The sequence below is a fragment of the Homo sapiens genome, chromosome 16 (genome assembly GCF_000001405.40).
Source record: "Homo sapiens chromosome 16, GRCh38.p14 Primary Assembly".
In the NCBI taxonomy this organism is placed as follows: domain Eukaryota; kingdom Metazoa; phylum Chordata; class Mammalia; order Primates; family Hominidae; genus Homo; species Homo sapiens.
The window spans coordinates 50119935-50142913 of NC_000016.10; the positions used below are offsets into that span (position 1 = coordinate 50119935).

Here is a 22979-nt window from a genome sequence, read left to right on the forward strand (position 1 = left end):
GATCCTTCCTGATCATTCTTCTTTCCTCCTTCTCATCACTTGGGAATCTGAGGATGTGGCACCAGGATTCTCTGCTCCAGGAACACCAATTTCCCCACTTGAGTTACCCATCCTTTGTGTCTCTTCTCCAGGAGCTCGCACTCCAACCAATTAAGAAAAGATTTGGCTACAATGACACATTGGCTGGAAGACACACCCACAAACCCATGGACCACCGGACTGTGAGTAACAGTCCTTACTTATGCCTCCTTGCACCCCAGTGTTAAATATTGGTAGAATGAATAAATGAATGAATGAATGAAAGGCAAAGACAGCTATTTAGTCAAGTACCCAGATATTTCTTGAAAAGGATGTTATTGTGGCCAAGAGGCTGTGTGCCACCTTATTTATTTATGTATGTCACCCAGACTGGAATGCAGTGGTGCAATAATAGCTCACTGCAGCCTCTAACTCCTGGCCTCAAGTGATCCTTCCAGCTTGACCTCCCAAAGCTCTGGGATTACCAGGTGTGAGCTTTGCCTGGCCTAAGCATAACTTTTGATCTTCATAGGATCCAAAGTCATGAACTTGTAGCCACGTTGACAACTTGTCCGGCTTGAACAGATTGAATAATCAAGCAGACGTAGCCATAGTGTCACCTGTGAGAAACTGCAATATTTTATAGCTGCTTTGTTTGTTTTTTTGAGATGGAGTTTCACTATGTTGCCCAGGGTGGTCTTGAACTTCCTGGACTCAAGCAATCCTCTCGCCTCAGCCTCCTGAGTGGCTGGAACTATAGGGACTCACCACTGTGCTAGGCAAAATTGTAATGTCTTACAGACACATACACACACACAAAAAAAACTAATTATGATTTAAAAAGCTAGACAGAGATAATATCTTATAACTCAAGGTTTTTCAGCCATCAACACATAGATGTTGATTAATCATTCAACATTAATTATGGTTGTGTTTTTCAGGTCCTGTTTTAGAACTTTGAACAGGTCAATAATCTTGTATTGCTGTGGTCACAGTCCCTTGCTAATTACTGAAGGTAAATAAGATGTGATCACAAGAAACAGTCCACTCACTGTGTCTCACATATTCTCTATAGCCCTAAGAGAAATGACTTCCATTATATTTTAAGTTGGTTATATTGGCTAGTTTCTTTCTTTTTTCTTTTTTTTTTTGGAGATGGAGTCTTGCTCTGTCGCCCAGGCTGGAGTGCAGTAGCACGATCTTGGCTCACTGCAACCTCCTCCTCCCAGGTTCAAGCAATTCTCCAGCCTCAGCCTCCTGAGTAGCTGAGATTATAGGTGCCCACCACCACACCTGGCTAACTTTTGTATTTTTAGTAGAGACAGGGTTTCACCATGTTGTCCAGGCTGGTCTCGTTCTCCTGACCTCAAGTGATCCATCTGCCTTGGCCTCCCAAAGTGCTGGGGTTACAGGTGTGAGTCATCGCACCCAGCTATATTGGCTAGTTTCAAAACAGATCAGGGGCTATCCATTTGAAACCGTCCCACTAACATGATATGACAAGGTTTGTAAGTGATAAGCTTGGCAGCTTCGATTTCTGGCACAAGGTGTGTGGCCTCCCAGAGCTCTAGCCTGTCCTCTCTGACTCAGTTTTTCTTGCTCTGTAATGGGTTCTGTCCATTTGTCAGCCTGCAGATTTTCAGCTGGATTTTTTTTTCATGTCAGCCAAATAAATACAGAAATTGCTCCCCCCACCCTGATTATAATCATTTTGGCCACATTTTTCAAAGCTTACTCTTAGACCATCCCAAAACTCCAGGGTAACTCCATATTATTATTCAAATTTTTTCTCAAATTAAATGTCTGTTAGGCTGGTTACACAATCACAATAAGGGAAAAGCTTGGCCCTTTCATTTTGCATTTTACCTCAGAGAAGGTCCTTGTGGCTTGACTTTGCACATTACTGGAAACAGAATTTGCCTTTCTGCTCCTTTGTGAGGTAGTCAAAGCACGATGTGCATGTGGTTCCAAACACATTTAATTCTGTAGCTATTCTTTTGTTGAAGGCGCTCACCACAAAACATCCTGGAGGGGGATTACGGGGCAGGTGCAACAGACAAGGGTGTTTCCCGGATGGGGAAGGCAGAGCGCCAAGTAAAGGAGTAAGTGCTGAAGAAGGGATTTTACTTGAAATTGGAAGTCATAGGAGCTATTTGGTTTTGGGGGTGCATGTTTAAGTGATACATTTATAGATTAAAAACGAAATTCAGGCCATGTGCTGTGGCTCACACCTGTAATCCAGTACCTGCAGAGCCCCTCCTGCCTTGGCCTCCCCCAGAAAAACAAAGAATTTCAGAGTCAATAGCACGTTATGTTTTGACTACATCACAAAGAAGCAGAAAAGGGCCAGGCACCGTGTCTCACGCCTGTAGTCCCAGCACTTTAGGAGGCTGAGGCAGGCCGATCTTTTGCGTTCAGGAGCTCAAGACCAGCCTGGCCAACGTGGTGAAACCTCGTCTCTACTGAAAATACAAAAAAATTAATCGGGCATGGTGGCATGCACCTGTAGTCCCAGATACTTAGGATGCTGAGACAGGAGGATAGTTCGAACCCAAGAGACAGAGGTTGCAGTGGGTTGAGGTTGTGCCACTGTACTCCAGCCTGGGTGACAGAGTGAGTCTCCATCTCAAAAAAAACCCCCAAAACAAACAAATGACAACAACAAAAGCAGCAGAAAGGTAAATTCTTATTTTCCTCTTTTAAAAAAATTTCCTTTGTTTTAGGAATTCTTTTTCCAGACATGTGTCAAGCCAAGCCATGAGGGCCTTTTCCAAGGTAAAATGCAAAACAAGCGGGCCAAGCTTTTCCCTTATTTTTCCCTCCTTGCCTAGGAGTTTGAGACCAGCCTGGGCAACAGAGCAAGACCTCGTCCCTACAAAAAAATGAAAAAAAAGAAAACAAAAACAAAAACAAGTGGCTGGGTGCAGTGGCTCATGCCTGTAATCCCAGCACTTTGGGAAGCCGAGGTGGGCAGATCACGAGGTCAGGAGATCGAGACCATCCTGGCTAACACGGTGAAACCCCATCTCTACTAAAAATACAAAAACAATTAGCCAGGCATGGTGGCAGGCGCCTGTAGTCCCAGCTACTTGGGAGGCTGAGGCAGGAGAATGGCGTGAACCCAGGAGGTGGAGCTTGCAGTGAGCCGAGATGGTGCCACTGCACTCCAGCCTGGGCGAAAGAGCGAGACTCCGTCTCAAAAAAACAACAAAAAAAAGTAGCTGGATGTGGTGGTGCTTGCCTGTAGTCCCAGCTACTCAAGAGGCTGAGGTGGGAGGATTGCCTGGGTCCAGGAATTGGAGGCTGCTGTGAGCCATGATCACACCATTGCAGATCCAGCCTGGGTGACAGAGCGAGACCCTGTCTCAAATAAATAAATAAATAAATAACAGTTCAGAAGAGTATAAAGTGAAAGTCTCAATTTTTCATGGATTTCTTATGCTCTAGTTTTCCTCCCCTGGTCTTCTGTTACTTCCATGTATACCCTTCTAGAGATAGACGATGTGTATGCACATAGACAGGGCACTCTTATGACTGGTAACATATTATAACATTGGCCCACTTTGTTTGCTATTTTGCTTTTCTGTAACAATATACTCATTCAACAAATATTTATTAAGTACCTAATGTATGCTTGAATCCTGTCCTATGTACTCAGGATAGAGCAATGAACAAACCAATCAATATTAGTTTTCTATTGCTGTGTAACAAATTGTTGCAAATGCAGCAGTTTAAAGAAACACATTTAGTCTCTCTCAGTTTTTGTGGGTCTAGAGTCCATGCACTGTTTCCTTGAGTTATCTGTTTCAGGTTCTTGCCAGGCTGCAATCAAGCTATCAACAGTGCTGTGTTCTCATCTGGAGACTCAACTGGAGAAGAATTTGCTTCTAAGCCCACTCCAGTGGTTAGTGGACTTCATTTTCTTGTAGGAATAGGATGGAGAGCTTTGGATTTTTACCAGCTGTTGGCCAGAGGTCCTCAGTTCCTGGAGGCTGCCCCTGTGCAGTTGACAAGCAGCAGCTTGCTTCAGGCCAGGCCAGCAGAAGAAAGCATATCTGCTAGCAAGACGGAAGTCTTATTGGCTGGGCGCAGTGGCTCATGCCTGTAATCCCAGCACTTTGGGGGGCTGAGGCGGGTGAATCACCCGAGGTCAGGAGTTCAAGACCAGCCTAGCCAACCTGCCGAAACCCCATCTCTACTAAAAATGGAAAAATTAGCCAGGCGTGGTGGTGGGTGCCTATAATCCCAGCTACTCAAGAGGCTGAGGCAGGAGAATCGCTTAAGCCCTGGAGGCAGAGGTTGCAGTAAGTTCACACTACAGCCTGGGTGACACAGCAAGACACACACACAAAAAAGCAATTATTTTTGTGTAGCTCTGTGTAACCTCGAATTTTTGGGCTCAAGCAATCCTCCTGCCTCAGCCTCCTGAGTAGCTGGGACTAAAGGCATGCACCACCATGCCCAGCTAATTTTTTTTTTTTTTTTAGACAGAGTTTTGCTCTTGTTGCCCAGGCTGAAGTGCAGTGGTGCGATCTCAGCTCACTGCAACCTCCGTCTTCTGGTTTCAAGTGATTCTCCTGCCTCAGCCTCCTGAGTAGCTGGGATTACAGGTATCCACCACCATGCCTGGCTAATTTTTGTATTGTTAGTAGAGACGGGGTTTCACCATGTTGGCCAGGCTGGTCTCGAACTCCTGACCTCATGATCTGCCCACCTCGGCCTCCCAAAGTGCTGGGATTACAGGCGTGAGCCACCGCACCTGGCCTGCCCAGCTAATCTTTAATAAACTTTTTATAGAAACAGGGTCTCACTGTGTTGCCCAGGCTGGTCTTGTACTCCTGGCCTCAAGTGATCCTCCCACCTCAGTATCCCAAAGGGTTGGGATTGCAGGAAGGAGCCGCTGTGCCTGGTCAAGACTGAGTCTTATAAAGCAACATAATCATGGGAATCATATCCTATCACTTTGTCACATGCTATTGGTTAGATGCAAATCACAGGTCCCACCCACACTGAAGGAGAGGGAATTACATAAAGACTTGAGCAGCAGGAAGTGGGGATCATGGGAGAGGAGACTATCTTAAAGTCAGTCTGCCTTGCAAACCAAGCTCCTGTTCCCATGGAGCTTACGTTCTAGTAGGGGAAACAGACAACCAATGAATAGGCAAATAAGTGCATGCTGGGTGCTAAAAATAAGTGCTAAAGCCAAACAGTAAATTTGGGTAAATGGAGCAGATGTAAAGGAGTGTTACTGTAGAAGACAGCAGTCAGGGAAGGCCTCTGGGGCAGCAACATTTGAGCAGAGACCTGAAGGAAATGAGGAAGGCACAGAGATTACTGGGAAAAGAGGCACCAGCCTCCAATGAGCATGTGCACAGGCCCTGCCAAGTGAGCATGCTGGAGGGTTCTGTAACAATGCAGAGACCCATGTGGCTGCAGCACAGTGATCCAGTAGCAGGATGCAAGGCTAGAGAGGAGATGGGGTTGGACCAGATAGGGCCTTGCAGCCGTGTTAAGGATCTGAGTGTGATACAAAGACATTAGGAAACATGGGGCAGAGGAGAAACACTGGCTTTCCATTGCAAAGGATCACTTTGATCCTGGGATAAGAACAGATGGATGAGAGGCATGGCTGGAAGGAGAGAAACCAGTCTTAATCATTTCAGCGAGAAACACTAGTAGTTTGGACCCAAGTGGTGCATTTCCTGGAAAGTAGGCAGCTGTCATCTAAAGGAAGAGCCTGCAGCATCAATGGTAGGTTGGATGTGTGGTGAGAGTGAAGAAAACGTTAAGGGTGATGCCAAGGATTTTGGCCTGAGTCACTTGAAGGATGGGGTCATCATTTATTGAAATGCAGAAGACAGTGAGAGAAATGGGTTCGAACAGAAAAAAAATCTGGAGTTTGATTTGTTTCTTTTTGTATTTTTTCTGGGAGACAAATTGTTACTTACACTTGTTAGCGGATTCTGACTTCCATGCCTACCATCCTGCTTAGAGTTTGATTTTATTATGTGCTGTAAGCAAAGTGACGTTGTCATTCTTTTTTTTTTTTTTTTTTTTTTTTGGAGACAGGGTCTTGCTCTGCTCTGTCATCCACACTGCAGTGCAGTGGTGTGAACACAGCTCACTGAAGCCTCGATTTCCTGGGCTCAAGAGATTCCCCAGCCTTGGCCTCGCAAAATGTTGGGATTACAGGCGGAGGAGGTTCCAAGCGTTGATGTGGATGATTCCAGACCAACAGTTGGAAAGATATGCAGTAGCCTAGACAAGAACTAGGCAAGTAGGGTTGGGGTAGAGGCTTCCAGCATGTCCTGGAGATATAATACGGAAGGTCTGGGGTTTTTTGAATGTAGGAGGATCAGGAAGGTCATACTTGTCTCCTAGGCACAAAGCAGAAGGTGACTGTCAAAACAAAACAGGAACAATAGTAAAACTGGGTTCTAGAAAAGAGCCTTGGAAACTTCTTTTGTGACCAAGTAACTCTTTTTCGAGAAGGCCTGGACTGTGTTTCAAGCTATGTAGGCGCTGCTAAGAGAACATTCTGGAGTACAGTGTTGACATTTAGTAAGGGCCTTTGTCTTTTTATTTCTTTTCTTTTTTTCATGCTATTCTGACAGAAGAGCCTTTGTCCGCCGGATGCGGTGGTTCACACCTGTAATCTCAGCACTTTGGGAGGCCGCGGTGGGCAGATCACGAGGTCAGGAGATCAAGACCATGCTGGCTAACATGGTAAAACCCCATCTCTACTAAAAATACAAAAATTGGCTGGGCGTGGTGGCGTGTGCCTGTAATCCCAGCTACTTGGGAGGCTGAGGCAAGAGAATCACTTGAACTAGGGAGCCGGAGGTTGCAGTGAGCTAAGATTGTGCCACTGCAATCCAGCCTGGCAACAGAGCGAGACTCTGTCTCAAAAAAAAAAAAAAAAAAAAAAGAGCCTTAGTCTTTCAAAACAGAAATTTGCATGGTTGGATTGTTTAATGACAGAAGAGGTAGCAAATGTCAGTGAGCACCTTCTCCTTTATCCATAGACTACATTGCAGGGGTGAGTTAAAAAGAAAGGGTAACATGGGGCCAGGCACGGTGGCTCACACTTGTAATCCCAGCACTTTGGGAGGCTGAGGTCAGAGTTCAAGACCAGCCTGGCCAACATGGTGAAACTCCATCTCTACTAAAAATACAAAAAATTAGCTGGGCGTGGTTGAGGGCACCTGTAATCCCAGCTATATGGGAGGCTGAGGCAGAAGAATGATGTGAACCCAGGAGGCAGAGGTTGCAGTGAGCCGAGATCATTCCACTGCACTCCAGCCTGAGTGACGGAGCGAGACTCCATCTCAAAAAAAAAAAAAAAAAAAAAAAAAAAAAACGTAAAATGCACAGCACTGCTAGGGTGTTGCATCTTGTTTGAGTTTCTGGGCTTTCTCTCCACTAGAGTGGCCGCCCAGAGACCAACACTTGCTTTGCGTACCTCTGGCCAAGGGCGCTACTTCCTCTAGTAACAAGAAAGATGATGGGAGGATGGGAGGAGCTGCCTCCATGGCCTTGTGAAAACCTGAATCTGAAAAATGTCTGAATTTGTTAAAGACCAGTCCAAAAATTTGAGAAAATGAACTCATTCTGGGAGTGGGTTTTTTCCACTCTCATTAGGCTGAGCTACCAATTCTTTTTGGGGGCCTTAGTGCCTGCCATGGTCAAGTTCTATAGAAACACCACTCAACACAGAGTTACCCAGAAAAGGCAAAGCTATCAAGATAGAAAGTAGATTAGTGGCTGCCTAGGGCTCAAGTGGGTAAAGGAGTGACTGCAAATGAACCTTAAAGATCTTTCTGGGGACGGAGGTATTTTAAAGTTGGAATGTGGTGATGATTGCACAGCTCTGTACATTCACTAAAAATTATTGAATTGTACACTTAAGATGGGTGAATGTCACAGTATGTAAATTAAAATAAATCTCTTTTAAAAAATATTTAATCAGCCAGGCGCAGTGACTCATGCCTGTAACCCCAGCACTTGGGGAGGCCAAGGCGGGCTGATCACTTGAGCTCAGGAGTTTGAGACCAGCCTGACTAACATAGTGAAACCCTGTCTGCACCAAAAATACAAAAATTAGCAGGGCGTGGTGGTGTGCCCCTATAGTCCCAGCTACTAGGGAGGCTGAGGTGGGAGGATCACTTGAGCCTGGGAGGCAGAGGTTGCAGTGAGCCAAAATCACACCATTGCACTCCAGCCTAGATGAGGAGAGTGAAACCCTGTCTCAAAAAAAAAAATTAATTGACAAATAATCACTACATATCTGTGTGGGATGCAATGTGATGTTTTGATATATGTACACATTATGGAATAATTAAATCAAGCATATCCATCACCTCACATAATTTTTTTTTGTGGTGTGAACATTTAAGATCAGCTCTCTTGGTCAGATGCAGTGGCTTACGCCTGTAATCCCAACACTTTGAGAGGCCAAGGCAAGAGGATCACTTGAGCCAGGAGTTTGAGACCAGCCTGGGCAACATAGTGAGACCCTATCTCTACAAAAAATACAAAAATTAGCCAGGCGTGGTGCCATGCACCTGTTGTCCCAGCTACTTGGGAGGCTGAGGTAGGAGGATCACTTGAGCCCAGAATATTGAGGCTGCAATGACCTGAGACCATCCCAGTGCACACCAGCCTGGGTGAAAGAGCAAGACACTCTCAATAAAATAAAATTTAAAAATAAAATAAAATCAGTTCTCTTATAGGTCTTGAAAACTTATTCTTCTGTATAGTTGAAACTTCATACCCTTTGACCAACATCTCCCCATTGCCACCCCCCACCAATAGAGCTCTTAAAACACTCACTGTATTAGTCAGGGTTCTCCAGAAAAATAGACCAATATGATTGATCAATCTATCTGTCTATCCACCTCTATCTCTATCACTGTATTATCATCTATGATGTATTTTAAGGAATTAACTCATGCGATTATGGAGGCTGAGAAATCCCACACTCTGCTTCTGCAAACTGGAGACCCTGGAAGGCTGGCGGTGTAACTCTGAGAACTGGGAATCTGATGGTGCAAGTCCCAGGAGAGGGCAGAAGACTGATGTCTCCACTCAACCAATCAGGCAGACAGAGCAAACTCTCCCTCCTCTGCTTCTGTTGTTCTATTCAGGCCCTCAATGGATTGGATGACAGGACTGGATGAGGACCCCCACACTGGGGAGGGCCATCTGCTTTACTCAGCCACTGATTCAAATGCCGGTCTCATTCAGAATCACTCTCACAGACACAACCAGAAATAATGTTTTACGTAGGCACTCCATGCCCCAATCAAGTCAACACATAAAAATAACCATCACGAGTCTACCCCTTGTCAACTTGACACTCATCCTCATCTCCTGAAACCATACTTAATCTCCAAATAATGACAATAACAAGATAATAATTCTGCCTAATATGATACATCTATCCTGTGTGCCACCGAAAATGCACAAACTCTTTCCCAGAAAAGGATAGGAATGAGTGATGTTTAGTCTTCTCTTTGATATTCTTCTGAAACTTAAAGACTGTGATGTTGCGGAGACAAAAGTGAGTCCATCTTGAATGCTGATCTGCCATACTGACTTCTTACTAACCCCAGTCTCATGAATGCCTCTGATTCCTACTTTATTTACTGTCCTTGGTGTAAGAACATGTACACACTATAAATCCTGCCTTTAGGTCAAGGCAACCTTGATATTACCACACAAATCACAGGCTATGACGCACACAGCATTCTTGCCTGTTCTGGAGGGCTGCTGTGTTAGGCCGTCCCTGCATTACTATAAAAAATACCTGAGGCTAGGTAATTCGTAAAGAAAAGAGGTTTGGGCTGGGCGCGGTGGCTCACGCCTGTAATCCCAGCACTTTGGGAGGCCAAGGCGGGTGGATCCCCTGAGGTGAGGAGTTTGAGACCAGCCTGGCCAACATGGTGAAACCCCGTCTCTACTAAAAATACAAAAAAAAAAAAAAAAAATTAACCAGATGTGGTGGCAGGTGCTTGTAATCCCAGCTACTTGGGAGGCCGAGGCAGGAGAATCTCTTGAACCTGGGAGGCGGAGCTTGCAGTGAGCTGAGATTGCAATTCTCCCACCTGCAGGCTGCAGGCTGTACAAGCATGGCTCTAGAATCTGCTTCTGGCGAGGGCCTCAGGAAGCTTACAATTACCGTGGGAGCTGAAGGGGGAGCAGGCATGTTACATAAATAAAGTGGGAGCAGGAGAGACGGGGAAGGGGTGGGTGCCATACACTTTCAAACAACAAGATCTCACATGCAGTCAGGTGAGAGCTCACTTATCACCAAGGGGATGGTGCTGAACCATTCATGAGGGGATCTGCCCCCATGATCCAATCACCTCCCACCAGGCCCCACCTCCAACACTGGGAATCATTGCAACATGAGATTTAAAGGGGACAAAAATCCAAACTATATCAGTTGCCTTGAATTGTCTCTATAGAGCATAGAGCCCCTTTCCCTTTGGTAGGTGAGCCTTGTGTCTGGGGAGGAATCGTGCTGAGATCTACCTGTCTTGCTGATGCTCAAGACTAAACTACTGTGTATAAGTTCCCTCATAAATCACCCTTCATTGACAAACTGGTTCATCTGCCTCATTCCTTGGTTTCTCTGTTCCTTTGGCATTTGAGGGCTGCTTTGCATATATGACACTTTCATAGAGCAGATGTAAAATTTTTGTTGTTATTGTTGGTTTTTTGTTTGTTTTCTATAGAGACAAGGTCTGGCTCTGTTGCCCAGGCTGGAGTGCAGTGGTGCAATGACAGCTCACAGCAGCCTCATCCTCCCAGGCTCAAGCGATTCTTCCACCTCAGCCTTCTGAGTAGTCGGGACAGCAAGTGCATGCCACTACACCTGGATACTGTTTTTTGTTTTTTTTCTGTTTTGTTTTTAGTAGAGATGAGGTTTTGCCATATTGCTCGGGCTGGTTTCGAACTCCTGGGCTCCAGCAATTTGCCTGCCTTGGCCTCCCAAAGTTCTAGGATTACAGGTGTGAGCCACCATGCTCAGCTGTTGTTGTTTTCTGAGATAAGGTCTCACTCTGCTGCCCATGCTGGAGTGCAGTGGCATGATCATAGCTCACTGCAACCTCTACCTCCTGGGCTCAAGAGATCCTCCCTCTACAGCCTCCCAAGTAGCTAGGACTACAGGCAAGTGTTACCACGCCTGGCTATTTTTTTTTTTAATTTTTGTAGAGACAGGGTCTCCCTATGTTGCCCAGGCTGGTCTTGATCTTCTGGGCTCAAGTGGTCCTCCCACCTCAGCCTCTCAAAGTGCTGGGATTACAGACATGAACAACCACACGCAGCCAGATATAAAATTAACAATACTTAAATCCTATGATACAAAGTCAATACATCTTATGTTACATGATAAAATGAGAGGAAAGAAAACAAAGATATTTGCTACACAAACGTGTTCATAATAAAATAAGGAGGAGGCCGGGAGTGGTGGCTCACACCTGTAATCCCAGCACTTTGGGAGGCTGAGGTGGGCAGATCACGAGGTCAGGAGATTGAGACCATCCTGGGTACGGGTGAAAACCCGTCTCTACTAAAAATATTAAAAAAAATATTAGCCGGGCGTGGTGATGGGCACCTGTAGTCCCAGCTACTCAGGAGGCTGAGGCAGGAGAATGGCATTAACCCAGGAAGTGGAGCTTGCAGTGAGCCGAGATCACGCCACTGCACTCCAGCCTGGGTGACAGAGGGAGACTCCATCTCAAAAAATAAATAAATAAATAAATAAATAAATAAATAATAAAAAAAATAAATAAATAAAATAAGGAGGAAATATAACAATTACAGTCCTCATTTCTGTAACCAGTCATGTGGTCATGGCTGTGTATTTATTTATAACTATCTTCCTCCACTACCCCATTCTGTATTCCTTTTGCCTTCAGCAAACACCTCAGGTGGTCATGGTTCTTTATTTGGTGTTGTGATCCAAACCTTCATTCCTGAAGGACCTGGGCCATATATAGTCCTGTCTGGATTGGATTGTTGTATATTTTTCCGTTCCACTTAATCAGAGGGCGTGGTCATACTGAGAGATGCTCTGCAGGATCTCATGAATTGCAGACATACTCTTTCTTACCTCCATTGTGGAGTAGTAGTCCAAGTTTCCCTTGGTAGTCAGAATCAATTTATCTAGCCACTAGAGGATTCCCTTCTTTTTTTGTTGATTCAGGGTATTAAGGAGCCCAAAGTGGCTGGGCAGTAGCCTTAACTTCCAGCTCAATGCAATTATTGTTGTGTCTCCAGATGGAAGCATTCCTTCTTCTGGAACTAAGAGCTCTAGACCAGCAGAGCATAAAGTTGTGAGAACAGGAACCAAAAATTTTGCTACTGGGTCACTAGAAGTAATAGTGGTTCAGCTGGGCACAGTGGCTCATGCCTGTAATCCCAGTGCTTTGGGAGGCTAAGGCAGGAGGATTGCTTGAGGCCAGGAGTTTGAGACCAGCCCAAACAGCATAGGGAGACACTGTTTCTAATATATATATATATATATACATTTTTTTTCTTTGTTTGTTAAACAAGCTGGGCATGGTGGCAAGCACTTGTAGTCCTAGCTACTTGAGAGGCTGAGGTGGGAGGATTGCTTGAGCCCATGAGTTTGAGGCTATAGGGAGCTATGGCCATGCCACTGCTCTCCAGCCTGAGCAACAGAGCAAGACTCTGTCTAAAAAAAAAAAAAAAAAAAAAATTGGTGAAGGGTGCCACTCCCATTTCCACCCTTGATTCCTGACTGTGATTTCCTGCTGTAAGAGAAACAGCACCATGGCCAGGCGCGGTGGCTCACACCTGTAATCCCAGGACTTTGGTAGTCCGAGCCGGGTGGATCACCTGAGGTCAGGAGTTCAAGATCAGCCTGACCAACATGGCAAAACCTCATCTCTACTAAAAAATACAAAAATTAGCCGGTGTGGTGGCAGGTGCCTGTAATTCCAGCTACTCAGGAGACTGAGTCATGAGAATCGCTTGAACCCGGGAGGCAGATGTTGCAGTGAGCCGAGATCACACCATTGCACTCCAGCCTGGGCGACAAGAGGGAAACTCTGTCTCCAAAAAAAAAAAAAAAAAAAGAAAGAAAGAAAAAAGAAAAACAAAACAAACAGCACTGTTTTTGGACGCTGATTCAGAGCATATACAGCCTTCTGGTGAACCTTGCCCTAGCCCTCCTAGCTGGTACTGTAACTAAGTCTTCAAAAGACCCTTTCACTGTTTCATCAAACCAGCTACTTCAGAATGGTGGGAAAAGACCAGTGAATTCCATGAGCTTGAACCCATTGCTGCATTCCTTTTGCTGTGTGTTCGTTGATGAGAAGCAATGTTGTGTGGAATACCAATACCATTACAATGGATAAGACATTCTATAAGCCCACAAACGGTAGTTTTGGTAGAAGCATTGTGTGCAGGGAAGGCAAATTAATATGCTGAGTAAGAGTTTATTACAAGCCCACACAGTGGTGTGCACCTGTAGTTCTAGCTACTTGGGAGGCTGAGGCAAAGTGGGAAGATTTCTTGAGAACAGGAGTTCAAAGCTGTAGTGTGCTATAATCATGCCTGCAAATAGCCACTGCACTCCAGCCTGGGCAACACAGCAAGATCCCATCTCTAAAAATAAAAAATAATAATTAAAAAAAATTTTTAAAGAATCTATTACAGTAAGAACAAAACACTGTCCCTTCCATGATAGAAGCAGTCCAGTGTAATCAACCTGCCACTGGGGAGCTGGCTGATTTACCCCCCGGGGAATATCAGGGACTCAGTCTTGGTCTCTGCTGCTGATGGATTGGGCACTCACCAGTGGCCATAGCCAGGTCAGCTTTGATAAGTGGTAGTCCATATTCCCAAGCCCATGATTAACCTCCATCCCTGACCATGGCCACTCTGCTCATGAGCCCACTGGCTGATGAGGGGGTGGCTGGAGAAAGAGGCTGATGGCTATCCACAGAATAGGTCATCCTATCCACTTGATTTTTAAAGTCCTGCTCTACTGAGGTCACCCTTTAGTGAGCATTCACATGGGAGACAAATATCTTATGATTTTTGCTCATTCTGCGAGGTCTATTCACATACCTCTTCTCCAAATTTCCTTGTTACCAGTTTTCCAATCATATTCCTTCCAAGTTCCTGAACATCCAGCCAAACCATGGTCCACAGCCCATGGGATTGGTATATAATTGCGTGTCTGACCATTTCTTCTTCCAAGCAAAGCATGCTGCCTGAAGTTTTGCCACTGGGAAGATTTCCCTTCACTGCTGTCCTTAAGGGATGTCTCAGAGAGAAGCTGTAGTGCTGTCCACTTTCAGATGGCACACACGTATTGTGCAGAACCACCTGGAAACCAGGCCTGTCCTATCTTCCTCTGTCAGCTGATTATAGGGACCTCCCTAAGAGGCCATAGGTACAGAACGGGAGACAGAAGGCAGTGTAGCGGGGCGGGGGACCGTTGGTATTTGTGCCAGTCCTTCATTAACTTACTTGTGCCTTCAGGGCCTGCTTGAACTCAATCATGTATATACCACTTCCATTTGATGGTGGAGTGCTCCTGTGCACATCCAAATTTATGGCATTGGAGATCAGATAGCCCCCAGTTTGTGATGGGTAGCTCAAGTCGCATTGTAACTTGGTGGCCATGGTTGAGCATTCAGTCTTTTTTTTTCCCGAGATGGAGTCTTGCTCTGTCACCTAGGCTGGAGTGTAATGGCGCAATCCTGGCTCACTGCAACCTCTGCCTCCAGGGTTCAAGTGATTCTCCTGCCTCAGTCTCCCAAGTAGCTGGGATTACAGGCACATGCCACCATGCCCGGCTAATTTTTGTATTTTTAGTACAGGTGGGCTTTCACCATGTTGGCCAGGCTGACCTCGTGATTCACCCACCTCAGCCTCCCAAAGTGCTGAGATTACAGGTGTGAGCCACCACGTCTGGTCAAGCATTCAGTCTTTACCAAGGCTCAGGAGCAGGCCAAGAGCTGTCTCAAAAGGAAAGTAAGCTGAAGGATGGCAGGGCTCTGCTGCAAAATTCTAAGGATCTGAGCTATAATCCACCTACAGGAACCTGCTAAAGACTCCAAACAGCACCCCTGTCTGCCACTGACCCTTCAGGCACCATTGGCTCTGCTGGATCATATGGCCCAAGGGGCGGAGCAGCTTGCACAGCAGCCTGGACCCATTGCAGAGCCTTGTCCGTTTCTGAGTCCCACTCAACACTTGCAGCTTTTTGGGTCACCCAGTAAATAGATTCGAATATCACACCTAAATGAAGAATATGTTGCCTCCAAAATCCAAAGATACCCACGGGGCATTGTGCCTGTATTCTGCCTGTAGGAGGGGCAGATGCAACAACTTCTCCCTCACCTTAGAAGGGACATCTCAACATGCCCCACACCACTGGATCTCTAGAAGTTTCACGGAGGTAGAAGGCCCTTGAATTTTTGTTGGATTTATTTTTCACCCTCTGACATGCAAGCGTCTTGCCAGTGAGTGTAGAATAGTTGATACTCCTTGCTTCCTGGGTCCAATCAGCACGGTGGCTTCAGTGTAATGGACCAGTGTGATGTCTTGTGGAAGGGAAAGGCAATTCTTTGGGAATTTAATTTTGTTTTATTTTTAATAATTTTTGTCATACATAGTAGGTGTATATATTTATGGGGTACATGAAATGTTTTGATACAGGCATGTAATGCATAATGATTACATGGGGAATGGGGTTCCATCCCCTTGAGCATTTATCCTTTGTGTAACAATCCAATTATAGTTTCAGTTATTTTAAAATGTACAATTATTGTTGACTATAGTTACCCTGTTGTGCTATCAAATAGCAGGTCTTATTCATTCTTTCTAACTACTGTTTTTGTACCCATTAATCATCCCTACCTCCCACCTCCCCCACTACCCTACCCTTCCAAGCTTCTGATAATCACCCTTCTACTCTCTATGTCCATGAGTTCAGTTGTTTTGATTTTTAGATCTCACAAATGAGTGAGAACATGCAATGTTTGTCTTTCTGTGTAAATTTTGACATAGGGCTAGAGAGTTCACATATACCCCCCAGGCAGGACCTGAAGGTATATTGCTGGCCTGCCTGCTGAAAGAAAACTGCTCTTATGGGCCTCATGGACAGGAATTTGAGGGAAAGGCGTTTGCCAGTTCAATAGCTGCAAACCAGGAACCAGGGGATGTGTTAATTTGCTTAAGCAATGAAACCACATCTGATACAGCAGCTGCAATTGGAGTCACCACCTGGTTAAGCTTGTGATAATCCACCATCATCCTCCAAGATCCATCTGTCTTCTGCACAGGCCAAATGGGCAAACTGAATGGGAATGTGGTGGGAATCATCACCCCTGCATCCTTCATGTCCTTGATGGTGGCACTAATCTCTGCAGTCCCTCTAGGAATGTGTTATGCTTTGGGTTTACTATTTTCCTAGTTCAGGCCAGCTTTAGTAGCTTCCACTTGGCCTTTCCTCCCATAATAGCCCTCACTCTGCAGGTCAGGGAAACAATATGGGGATTCTGCCAGCTTCTTTGTATGCCTATTTCAATTACACATTCTGGAACTGGAGAAATAACTGCAGAATGGGTTGGGACCCACTGGGTCCACTGTGAGGCAGACTTGAGCTAAAACTCCATTAATTACCTGACCTCCATAAGCCCCTACTCCCACTGGTAGGCCACAGTGGCATTTTGGGTACCCCAGAATTGGTAACAGCTCAGAGCTGGTGTCTAGTAGTCCCCAAAAGTTCTGATTATTTCCTTCTTCCCAATGCACAACTACTGTGGTTACAGGTCCCTGGCTATAGGTCCCTTTGGGGAAGACTGGGAAAAAGATTAATAGCATACATTTTTATTAGCCAGGCACAGGGGTTTGAGCCTGTAGTCCCAGCTAGTCGGCAGGCTAAGGTGGGAGAATCATTTGAGCCCAGGAGTTTGAGACTGCAGTGAGCCATTTAATCCCAGCAGTTTGGGAGGCTGAGGTGGGCAGATCATGAGGTCAAGAGTTTGAGACCAGCCTGGCCAACATGGTGAAACTCCGTCTCCACCAAGAATACAAAAATTAGCCAGGCGTGGTGGTGGGCACCTGTAATCCCAGCTACTGCACTCCAGCCTGGGCAACAGAGTGAGACTCTGTCTCAAAAGCAAAAACAAAAACAAAACAAAACACACACACACAAAGATAGATTTTTAGGAGTACTGGGGTTATTCTTCAACAGGTCCAGGTATCCCCTTCATTCAAGTGGTCCTGGGTCAGTAAAGTGGCTGATGTCCAGCAATTCACTGAGGGGTTATGAATCAATTTTTATGATACATGTTAAACTTTTGTTCATCTGACCTAGAAATTTTCTGCATATACAGATCAAGTAAGAAAATATTTCACTTCTAGGAACACCCTGATAAACTTGCCAATGCCAAAGGTCTTCATGAGTCAGACTATTCTGATTGCTGCCTTGATTCTGCTGTTCATCATGGCAACCACACCCCCCTTGCCTCTGTTGGTTGAGTCCCAAAACTTGGAACCTGCCACTCTGGGCAGGGGTGGGATCCAATGACTCCCATTGCATTTAGGCTTCCCGATTCTGTGAGTGCAGTTTCCATCGAAAGGCCAGGCCTACAGAGTAGGGTGATCACAGAGCTCTCCAAGGATGTGCTCCCCTCATGATGTTATGTTTCACGGTACTAGTGAAAGGTGTGTCTTTTGAACCTTCCCAGTGTGGGTGAATAGGCCTTAAATGACAAATTCACTCTAGCATGCCAATCTCCCTAAGCTTCTGAATTCCTTTCCCTACATAAAACCAAGGCAGGTACGGCATTTCCAATTTGCTCACCATGGACCAGGTTTTGGTCCATGTTTTCCATGTTTGAGCCAACCAACTGAAGTGTTAGAGCTTTTTCTTTTCTTTCCTTTTTTTTTCCCCCAAGACAGAGTCTTGCTCTGTCACCCAGACTGGAGTGCAGTGGCTCGATCTCAGCTCACTGCAACCTCTGCCTCCTGAGTTCAAGCAGTTCTCCTGCCTCAGCCTCCCGAGTAGCTGGGATTACAGGTGCCCGCCACCACATCTGGCTAATTTTTGTATTCTTGGTAGAGACAGGGTTTCACCATGTTGGCCAGACTGGTCTCGAACTCTTGACCTCATGATCTGCCCTCCTCAGCCTCCCAAACTGCTGGGATTACAGGCGTGAGCCACCTTGCCTGGCCTTTTTGTTTGTTTGTTTGTTTTTTGACAGGGTCTCACTCTATCAGCCAGGCCAGAGTATGGCTCACTGCAGCCTCGACCTCCCAGGCTCAAATGGTCCTCCTACCTCAGCCTCCTGAGTAGCTTGGACTACAGGAACACACCATCATGCCTGGCTGGCTTTTTTTTTGAGATGGAGTCTCACTCTGTCACCCAGGCTGGAGTGCAATGGCACGATCTTGGCTCACTGCAACCTCTACCTCCCGGGTTCAAGTGATTCTCCCACTTCAGTCTCCTGAGTAGCTGGGACTACAGGTGCATATCAGCATGCCCAGCTAATTTTCATATTTTTAGTACAGATGGGGTTTCACTATATTGGCCAGAGTGGTCTCAAACTCGTGACCTCAAGTGATCTGCCCACCTCAGCCTCCCAAAGTGCTGGGGTTACAGGCATGAGCAACTGTGCCCAGCAAGTAATTTATAAATTACACTTTACCATAGGTATGTGTATATAGAAAAAAGCATAGTATATGTAGGGTTCGGTACTAACCACAGTTTCAGTCTTCCACTGGGGGTCTTGGAACATATTCCCTTAGGCTAAGAGGGGACTACTCTACTTGAGTTTTCTAATTTATATGGACAGAAATGGGAGAGCATGTGTGAGAATGGATACTAAGGGTATGCGATGATGGTGGAAAGAACATAAGGTTGGGTCAGGCTAAATTAATTGATTTGGGCCCACTAAGCAGAGATTCTGCCTTTAATTCTTCAGTTTAGGGAGTTAGAAAGGCTCTACGACAGGTGTGGTGGCTCAAGCCTGTAATCCCAGGATGCTGGGAGGCTGAGAAGACAGGATCCCTTGAGCCCAGGACTTTGAGACCAGCCTGGGCAACATAGCAAGACCTTGACTGCACTAAAAAAAAAAAAAAATTAGGCCAGGCATGGTGGCTTGAGCCTGTAATCCCAGCACTTTGGGAGGCCAAGGCAGGCAGATCACCTGAGGTCGGGAGTTTGAGACCAGCTGGTGCAACATGGCAAAACTCTGTCTCTCCTAAAAAAAAAAAAAAAAAAAAAAAAAAATTAGCCAGGCGTGGTGGTGTGTGCCTGTAGTCCCAGCTACTCAGGAGGCTGAGACAGGAGAATCACTTGAACCCAGGAGGTGGAGGTTGCAGTGAGCTAAGATTGTGCCACTGCACTCCAGCCGGGTGACAGAGTGACACTCTGTCTCAAAAACAAACAAACAAACAAACAAAAATTAGGCACCGGAAGAGATTAACAATAACTAATAATAAAATAGAACAATTATAACAACATGCTGTAATGAAAGTTGTCAGTCACTGTAGTCTAACTTGCAATTTGAGGTGTGACAGCAAAACTAGCATGAATTTCATTACTTTTTCCTTCTTCACAGTTTCACAGATAAAAGATTTGTTCTTACTATAGATCTTAGCAACCTCAACATATGAGTTTTTTTCTTTCCTTATTAAGTTGAGCACTTTCACCTCCTTACTTAGAAGAAGTACTTGACAGCTTTTCTTTGGCATATCTGAATTGCCAGCATCACTACTCTTACTTTGGGGCTACTATTGAGTGAAATAAAAGCCACTTGCACACAAACACTGTGATACCATGACAGTCAATCTGATAACTGAGACAGCTACTAAGTGAAAATGAGTGAATAGCATACACAGTGCAGGTATGCTGGACAGAGGGATGATTCGCACCCTGGGTGGGATGGTGTAAGTTTTTTTTTTAATTTATTGTGTTATTTTATTTATATTCTTTATTTCTTTTAAACAACCCTAAGTCCATTTAGCAATGACACGATATTTTATCACACTACTCAGAACAACACGCAATTGAAATTATGAGTTGGTTGGGCATAGTGATTCATGCCTATAATTCCAGCGTTTTGGAAGGCCAAGGTGGGAGGCACCATTGAGGCTAAGAGTTCAAGACCAACGTGGACAACACAGTGAGACCACCATCTCTACAAAAACAAAACAAAACAAAACAAAACGATACAAAACAAAAAAATTGGCCAAGCTTGGTGGTGCACACCCGTAGTCCCAGCTAACTTGGGAGGCAAGATGGGAAGATGGATTGAGCCCAGGAGTTCAAGGCTGCAGTGAGCTATGATCACACCACTGTACTCAAGCCTGAGTGGAGAGCAAGACCCTATCTGTCTCAATAACAAAAGAAAACAAAACAAAACAAAAACAGAAAAAAAAGTATGAGTTGCTTACTTCTGGAATTTTCCACTTAATACTTTTGAATCATGGTTGACTGTGGGTAACTGAAACTGTGGAAAGCAAAGCCATGGATTGGGGGGACTGCTGTAGTTCTTTTGGAGCATCGCATCCCTCCTCTTGGGTCACACTTTGTACTTCGCCTTAGGGACCTACTGGTACTTGGGTCTAGTTACAGGTCTAGAAGCAAAGGGGGTTGTTGAGGTGGTCCCGTAACAGAATCAGCATAGTCTTGCCTGTCAACTGCCTCAGTGGAGGCCTTTACAGTTTCCTCAGGCAATGCAGAGTTAATTCCCTGAGATGGGGCTGGGAGAGTGATGGGGAGACCCATACCACTGGGGTAGGGAGGCCTCTTCCACTGGCAATGGAGATACATCAGACTTTCGGGGCTCAATGTCTCTTATCAAGGTCTTCCCGCACATCCCTATTTCAATTTCCAGGATCCTATTGTTTCCCAATCAATATGCTCACTTTAACAGTAGATGCCCTGTGAGGCTGGATACAATTCAGTCAGTCACAGAATGAGGTTCTGCATTTGATTTTCAGCAGTCTCAGCTCTGTGGCTATAGGAGACAGAAGTCTTCTTCAGGCTCACATACGAGCTCTAAAGAAATCTGCTTTACCAACGCTGTCACAGATACACCCAGAAATAATGTTTAATCTGGGCACCCTGTATCCCAATAAAGTTGACACATAAAATTAACTATCACACACCAAGACCCCAAAGTGGCTTGTAAACTGAGCAAGTTTGTTTCTAGAACAGTAGAAATAAAAGACATTTTGGCTGGGCAAGGTGGCTTATGCCTCTAATCCCAGTGCTTTGGGAGGCTGAGGCAGGAGGGTCGCGTGAGTCCAGGAATTCAAGACCAGCCCATGGTAAAACTCTGTCTCTAAAAACAAAAAACAAAAAACAAAAAAAAAAAAAAAAGAAAAGAAAAAATTAGCTGGGTATGGTGGTGCATGCCTTTAGTCCTAGCTACTCAGGAGGCTGAAGTGGGAGGATCATCTGAGCCCAGGAGGTTGGTGGAGGCTGCAGTGAGCCATGATTGGGCCACTGCACTCCACCCTGGGTGACAGAGTAAGACCCTGTCTCAAAAATAAATAAATAAATAAATTTGGATTACCCTGAACAAGATACAAGCTTCAACATTGCTAATTATTTTTAAGTCTCACTGAAAAATATTTCCCTACTTGGAATCCTCCTGGTATTTATGAAGGAGAAAAATAACATGAAACAATAACATATATTTTGTGCAAAAAGGGGAAGGTTTGTAAATGGGGCCTAAGATTATTCATAACTGGAGCAAATGCTTCATAATGTAAATGATGAAGATACTAATATTAAGAAACTATTATTTATGGTTTTTACTAACTCCAGAATAAAGTACTTTAATCACATACTGTCAAAAATTTAGTTGTAATGACAGCTTGTTTTTTTGAGACAGGGTCTTGTTCTGTTGCCCAGGCTGGAGTGCAGTGGCAGGATTATAGCTCAACCCAGGAGTAACCTTGAACTTCTGGGTTGAAGGAATCCTCCTGCCTCAGCTTCCACAGTAGCTGAGACTACTGGTGCATACCCCACCACACCCAGCTAATTTTGTCTTATTGTTATTTATTATTATTATTATTATTTTGAGAGGGAGTTTCCCTCTTGTTGCCCAGGCTGGAATGCAATGGCTCGATCTCAGCTCACTGCAACCTCTGCCTCCAAGGTTCAAGTGATTCTCCTGCTTCAGCCTCCTAAGTAGCTGGGATTACAGGAATGTGCCACCATGCCTGGCTAATTCTGTATTTTTAGTAGAGACAGGGTTTCACCATGTTGGTCAGGCTTGTCTCGAACTGCTAACCTCTGGTCATCCGCCCGCCTCGGCCTCCCTAAGTGCTGAGATTATAGGCGTGAGCCACCACGCCCAGCCTATTTTATTTTTTGTAGAGATGGGGGGTCTCATCATGTTGCCCAGGCTGGTCTTGAACTCCTGGCTGAAGCAATCATATCCTCCTCAGCCTCCCAAAGTGTTGGGATTACAGGCATGAGCCACCACATCCTGCCTTAATGACAATTATTAATAATACCAGGTAGTAGTTGTGGAATTTCCCTCCTGTTTTGTTCAAGTTAATAAATCAAGGCCGGGCATAGTGGCCCACACCTGTAATCCTGGCACTTTGGGAGGTCAAGATGGGAGGATTATCTGAGGCCAGCAGTTCAAGACCAGCCTGGGAAAACCTGCAGATTTACCAGGGAAGTAGGAGGCTGGACTAACATAGTAATGCCAGCCCAGGTGGGAGGATTGCTTGAGGCCAGAAGTTCAAGACCAGCCTGGGCAACGTAGGAAGACCCCCATCTCTACAAAAAAATGAAAAAATTGGCCTGGCATGGTGGCACATGCCTGTAGTCCCAGCTACTTACAAGGCTGAGGCAGGAGGATCACTTGAGCCCAGGAGTTCCAGGATGCAGTGGGCTAAGGTCACACTACTGCACTCTAGCCTGTGACAAAGTGACACTTCAG

At 45.3% G+C, this 22979-nt stretch overlaps 3 annotated features.

Annotated features, from left to right (window-relative positions):
* Nucleotides 1532-1621: a silencer, noted in NCBI's record as "silent region_7470". NCBI's record gives its function as "represses an Ori minimal core promoter by ATAC-STARR-seq in GM12878 lymphoblastoid cells {active_cell/tissue: GM12878}" and the evidence as "EXISTENCE:reporter gene assay evidence [ECO:0000049][PMID:35858748]".
* Nucleotides 1912-1971: a silencer, noted in NCBI's record as "silent region_7471". NCBI's record gives its function as "represses an Ori minimal core promoter by ATAC-STARR-seq in GM12878 lymphoblastoid cells {active_cell/tissue: GM12878}" and the evidence as "EXISTENCE:reporter gene assay evidence [ECO:0000049][PMID:35858748]".
* Nucleotides 3196-3696: an enhancer, noted in NCBI's record as "H3K4me1 hESC enhancer chr16:50157041-50157541 (GRCh37/hg19 assembly coordinates)". NCBI's record gives its function as "activates a minimal SCP1, AML or CMV promoter by ChIP-STARR-seq in primed H9 embryonic stem cells {active_cell/tissue: H9 hESC(primed)}" and the evidence as "EXISTENCE:reporter gene assay evidence [ECO:0000049][PMID:30033119]".